We start from the raw sequence: 6,000 nt of genomic DNA on the forward strand, positions 1-6,000 counted from the left end.
ACAGCAGCCACCCTGATGGCTAACCAAGGATGACAGAAACGTGCTCCACAGAGACTCCTCGATGGTAGGACAGGAAATGGGGGTGAAAAGGACTTGGGGTAACATGTCCTTGCCAAACAGGGAGCTTTTCTCATTTGTCTCCAAAAGCAATATGAGATCTCATTTACTTTTTGGGACAGTTAAAGCAGCAGTATTATCTTTAGAGTTACAACCAGATGTTTATAACAGGCAACAAGTTTATTTTTCCTTTAAAATAAGTTTGTGGCCGTGCGCGGTGGCTCACACCTGTAATCCCAGCACTGTGGGAGGCCGAGGCGGGCAGATCACCTGAGGTCAGGAGTTCGAGACAAGCGTGGCTAACGTGGTGAAACCCTGTCTCTACTAAAAATACAAAAATTAGCTGGGCATAGTAGTGGACTTGGCTCACTGCAACCTCCGTCTCCTGGGCTCAACCGATCCTCTCACCTCAGTGCAACCTCCGCCTCCTGGGCTCACCTGATCCTCTCACCTCAGCCTACCAAGTAGCAGAGACTAAGGCGCCAGCCACCACACCCAGCTAATTTTTGTATTTTATGTAGAGATGGGGTTTTGCCATGTTGCCCAGGCCGGTTTCGAACTCCTGAGCTTAAGCAGTCCACCCACCTCAGCCTCCCAAAGTGCTGGGATATGTGAGCCATCGTACCTGACTGTGGATACAGTCTTAAAACCTATTCTCAGATAGTCATTAAATTGTTACTGTTTTTATTAAAATCTCATTTTCCCCAATCTGAAAATAGCTTTGTTGTTTTTTTCTGACTGTATAACATATATATATATGTATATATATATATGTGTGTGTGTATATATATATATATAAAGCCTGTGTGTGTGTGTGTGTGTGTGTGAAATGAAAATACAATTTTCATTTGTAATTTTATTTTGAAATAATGAAAATACAATTTCAGGCTGGGTGTCGTGGCTCACTCCTGTAATCCCAGCACTTTGAGAGGCCGAGGCAGGCGGATCACTTGAGGTCAGGAGTTTGAGACCAGCCTGGCCAACATGGAGAAACCCTGTCTCTACTAAAACTACCAAAAATTAGCCAGGCATGGTGGTAGGCACCTGTAATCCCAGCTACTCAGGAGGCTGAGGCAGGAGAATTGCTTGAACCCAGGAGACAGAGGCTGCAGTGAGCTGAGATCACACTAGTGCACTCCAGCCTAGGCGACAAAGCGAGACTCTGTCTCAAAAAAAAAAAAAAAATACGATTTCATTATTTATGTTTTCTTTTCACCTTATCATTGACCTAGATCCCCTCTATCAGAAGTAACGGTATATATATGAGAGAGAAAGAATCAGAGGCATTGAGGAGAAAGGGAACAATGAAAGTTACAGGAAATATCTGCCAGAACACAGTTGGAGAAGCTAGGGATGGTATTTTCTCATTGAATGAGATCTTTTTTATTCTTTTCAGGTATCCAAGAAAGTTCTTCCCCCAGCCCGGTAAGTATTTGATTCATGAGAATATTCCCACAAAGCACTTGAAAATTTCCCTTCCTGCTCCAGTTCATGGGAGAACCATAGGGAGACAGGTTCATTTTGATAACTCCAGAAGTCAGCTGGATCAGTTTGTTTTGGGCCCAAGGCTGAGCCAGCCTGTTGTGGAAGGGAGATGAAAGCACAGTTCATCCATCAGCATTTTGCTTAGGATCTATACCTTTGAATTATTTGGTAGCATAAGTAGGGAGGAGATCTGAACCAGGCAGCTAGCCAAACAAGTTCTGTCCAATGCCCCTTCAAGGCTAGAAGCTATGTTGGCTATTTCAGCAATATTAGGCCATTTCAATTCTGGGGTTAGACGAAGCCTGGTAAGCATCTTCAAATGTGCATTCTCTTCATTCATTCACTATTTCTTGAGTGCCTAACCATGTGCCAGTCATTATGCTAGGCACTGAGGATACAGTGGAAGACAGGATGGCCACATCTGTGCCACATATAGCTTACATTTGTACTGACCTCTTTGCTCTTCCTCCCAGCTCTCCATCAAGAAATGCCCTATCTGCAAAGCAGATGATATTTGTGATCACACCTTGGAGCAACAGCAGATGCAGCCCCTTTGTTTCAATTGTCCAATTTGTGACAAGATCTTCCCAGCTACAGAGAAGCAGATCTTTGAAGACCACGTGTTCTGCCACTCTCTCTGAGTATCCCAACCTCTTGGATGTATACAGAGATTTTATAGAATAGAACCTATAGCTTCTACCATGAGTTATATGAGTCAAGATCCTGCCTAACCTGAAATTATTAGGGATTTACTCAGCCCTGCTGCCGCTAACAGTGGAGTTATGTCACTGATCTGAAGGTCACTGTTAAGGGCTTCTGCTGCCATCCTTGTGGGTTGCTACCTTTAAGTCGCATAACTCTAGCTGTATCATCCTCTCACCTGTCATTCTTCTGAGGGTCTCAGTACAAGGGCCCTGGGATGGAGCCAACCTGGGTATTCACAACAGGCCTGACTTGATACTAAGTGATTAGTTTTCCAAGTTGTCCCACTGCCATTCAAAGTCAGCCCTTGAGTGTATTTGTTCTCAGTCCTAACCCTGGGGCCAGAGATTGGTCCGAGGTTGAGAATTCCTTCCTCCTCATCCTTGGTGTTGCTTTCTCCAAATGATTGTTTTAGACTAGCCAAAAATGCCGTGGCAAAGAGCTCAGAAATCCAATTTGGATACCAAAGGTTTCTCATGTTAATTTCTCAGCCCCCAAAGAAGCATCTTACTCCTGAACCTTAGACAGGAAGTATTGTTTCAGTCACAGAAAGCTTTTCTGGGTACCTCTGGTTAGCACTTTCTACTCTCTGATATTTCCTATGTACATAGCTTTTATTGTTGTAAATCCTTTCTTAATGGTTAAATAGGATTGTTAGCAACTATGGGTTTGCAGTTTTCTGAGTAGGTGAGTTTTGAATATGGGTAAATCAGAATAATGAGACAACTTGTTAATCTCTTTAATACTAAAAATAAATTACTCTTCTATTTCAGGGACTTAGGTAATTTAAAATAAACCTTCAATTTATGGTCTTCTGTTTTGAAGCTCATGGGAAAATTGTGATCAAAAGGGCTATGGGAAGGGCAGACCCCGCCAATGATTTCTCTTCACCTGTCTTAAGATTAAATAAAAAAGAGTGTCCTGGCAGTTATCTTGAGGTGGGGAAGGAGGTGATGAAACATTAGTTTGTGAAATCCAAGGCCCTGGCTTGCTTTCTTTCTTTTTTTTTTTTTTTTTTTGAAACAGTCTCTCTCTGTCACCCAGGCTGGCGTGCAATGGCGCAGTTGACTCACTACAGCCTCTGCCTCCCAGGTTCAAGCGATTCTCATGCCTTAGCCTCCCAAGTAGCTGGGATTACAGGTGTGTGCCGCAATGCCCAGCTAATTTTTGTGTTTTTAGTAGAGACAGGGTTTCACTATGTTGGCCAGGCTGGTCTCGAACTCCTGGCCTCACGTGATCTGTCCACTTCAGCCGTCCAAAGTGCTGGGATTACAAGCGTGAGCCACTGTGCTGGGCCCGAGGCCCTGACTTCTTGCTGTAACTTTCCATGCATTTTTTTTAAAAGGAGCAGTGTGGATTTTCGCACCCTTTGTGAACTAAGTTCAATGCGCTCTATCCAAATTTGCCTAATTGAACTATAAGAAAGTAATAATTCCATTTTCTATCCCCTCAGGGACTGAACAAATGGAAATAACTCCCAGGCAGTATCAGGTGGTCACTACAGAGACTTCCACAAAAACTTTTGAATGATGTGAAACACGATGTCATGAATAAGGGTTGAGCCAACTATAGCTCTGTGTTCCTACTGGGCTTTCCCTAATGTGGTTGGGAGTTATGCCCTAGACTAACTGTATTGTCCTAGTCACAGCTCCTTGCTTTGATTTCATCCTTGATAAAATGAAGATGAAACTTACACTACTTCTCCAAGCCTTTTGCTGTCTTAAGAATAAGACCTGAGATTAACACTAACCCTAGAATAGAAATGTAATAGGGAGATGGTAATAAAGGAGTTTTTCTGGCACATACCCTCCCTACAGAATTTCTGTTGCTCCCCAGATCCAGTGAAGAATTGCAGTTTCATTTATTTTGTACCAGTCAGCTCTTAATTAAGTACATGAATGGAGAGGAACAGTGGTGCACATAATCCAAATCAGTGAATACCATTTTCTGGTGAATTACCCACCCCTTTGCCCCTGCTACCCCGAGGGTTACCATGATTGTCAACAGCAGCAGGAGCCCTTCCACAGGGCTTGGTAAAAAAACCAGTTGAGGTGTTAATGACCCTTTTTGCTGGGTGTAAAACAAAGCATCTTTAACCACTGTTCATTATCCCCAGCTGCTCTTACCAAGGCTTTGAAGGGGGAAATTATGCTCTAGGCAGCCACTAGTAGTAAACAATAGTTCTTTTTTTTGAGACAGAGTTTCACTCTGTCACCCAGGCTAGAGTGCAGTAGGCGCTCACTGCAAGCTCCGCCTCCCGAGTTCACACCATTGTCCTGCCTCAGCCTCCCGAGTAGCTGGGACTACAGGCGCCCGCCACCGCTCCCGGCTAATTTTTTGTACTTTTAGTAGAGACGGGGTTTCACCGCGTTAGCCAGGATGGTCTCGATCTCCTGACCTCATGATCCACCGGCCTCGGCCTCCCAAAGTGCTGGGATTACAGGCATGAGCCACTGCGCCCAGCCAACAATAGTTCTTATATAACCCACTGCCCACCCTGGCCTTCCTCCATCCCCCTCGCACCCACACATTATATAGCTGTAAAATACCTGCAAAAAATAGGAAGTTATGAGAGCAAATAGTTATCTGAGTTGAATTTTTGAATCTTTGTACTTGTTATGGCAACAGGTTTTCCTTCCTAATTTCTTTTCTCTTGGTCTAATATTAAAATGTTTTTGCATTACCTTAGCATGCTTACTGGATGGGCAGTGAAGGGAGAATAAAGTCACCCTGGCACATGTGAGTGTGAAAGAAAGCTAACTTAAAAAAAGGAGGCCGGGCACGGTGGCTCATGCCTGTAATCCCAGCACTTTGTGAGGCCGAGGCGGGTGGATCACGAGGTCAGGAGTTCAAGACCAGCCTGGCCAACATGGTGAAACCCCATCTCTACTAAAACTACAAAAAATTAGCCAGGTGTGGCAGCAGGCACCTGTAATCCCAGCTACTCGGGAGGCTGAGGCAGAGAATTGCTTGAACCCGGGAGGCGGAGGTTGCAGTGAGCTAAGATCGCACCACTTTACTCCAGCCTGAGCGACAGAGCAAGACTCTGTCTCAAAAAAAAAAAAAAAGAGAGAGAGAGTTGGCAAGATATTTGGTAAACCTAGGCCTTAACACCTATAGCTTCAGCTCTTTTCCCTGGTCTTGCTAAAAATTGGGATGAAATGTGACTGCCTTGATGTTCAAATATCATTCTCCTGTGATTTGATTTTCTACGGTGGCAGTGGCTTACACTGAGGTAAGCATACTCTAACCTGGTCTCCTAGGAACAAATGTGGATGAAATGTGGATGCAGTCCATTACCTGGGAAAAAAGCAAAATGGACTCTACATAGAGACAAGATCCAAAGAGATATTCATCTGATTGCCCTGAGTTAACCAACAATAGGCCATAAGCTCAGTGAAGTTACACTGGCCCCAGTGCTTTCCTTAGCTGCTCTCATATAAATATTCAAAAGTCTTAGTCGGTGCTCACGCCTGTAATCCCAGCACTTTGGGAGGCCAAGGTGGGCAGATCACGAGGTCAGGAGATCGAGACCATCCTGGCTAACATGGTGAAACCCCATCTCTACTAAAAATGCAAAAAATTAGCGGGGCTTGGTGGCAGGCACCTGTAGTCCCAGCTACTCGGGAGGCTGAGGCAGGAGAATGGCGTGAACCCGGGAGGTGGAGCTTGCAGTGAGCCAAGATCGCACCACTGCACTCCAGCCTGGGAGACAAGGTGAGACTCTGTCTCAAAAAAAAAAAAAAAAAAAAAAAA

The 6,000-nt window shown here is 44.5% G+C and overlaps 1 protein-coding gene across 7 annotated transcripts in view; it reads left to right on the forward strand.

Moving 5' to 3' along the window:
* Positions 1 to 4,423, forward strand: part of CALCOCO2 (calcium binding and coiled-coil domain 2) — a 34,211-nt gene extending 29,788 nt beyond the window's left edge. For all 7 annotated transcript variants that reach the window (NM_001261391.2, NM_001261390.2, NM_005831.5 and 4 more), the window contains 2 exons: positions 1,454 to 1,482; positions 2,016 to 4,423. In NM_001261391.2, coding sequence (NP_001248320.1) covers positions 1,454 to 1,482; positions 2,016 to 2,183 — 197 coding nt within the window. In that variant the 3' untranslated portion in view covers positions 2,184 to 4,423. The remainder of the gene's footprint in view (positions 1 to 1,453; positions 1,483 to 2,015) is intronic.
* Positions 4,424 to 6,000: the final 1,577 nt, after the last annotated feature.

This window comes from Homo sapiens, chromosome 17, assembly GCF_000001405.40.
Source record: "Homo sapiens chromosome 17, GRCh38.p14 Primary Assembly".
NCBI classification, from domain to species: Eukaryota; Metazoa; Chordata; class Mammalia; order Primates; family Hominidae; genus Homo; species Homo sapiens.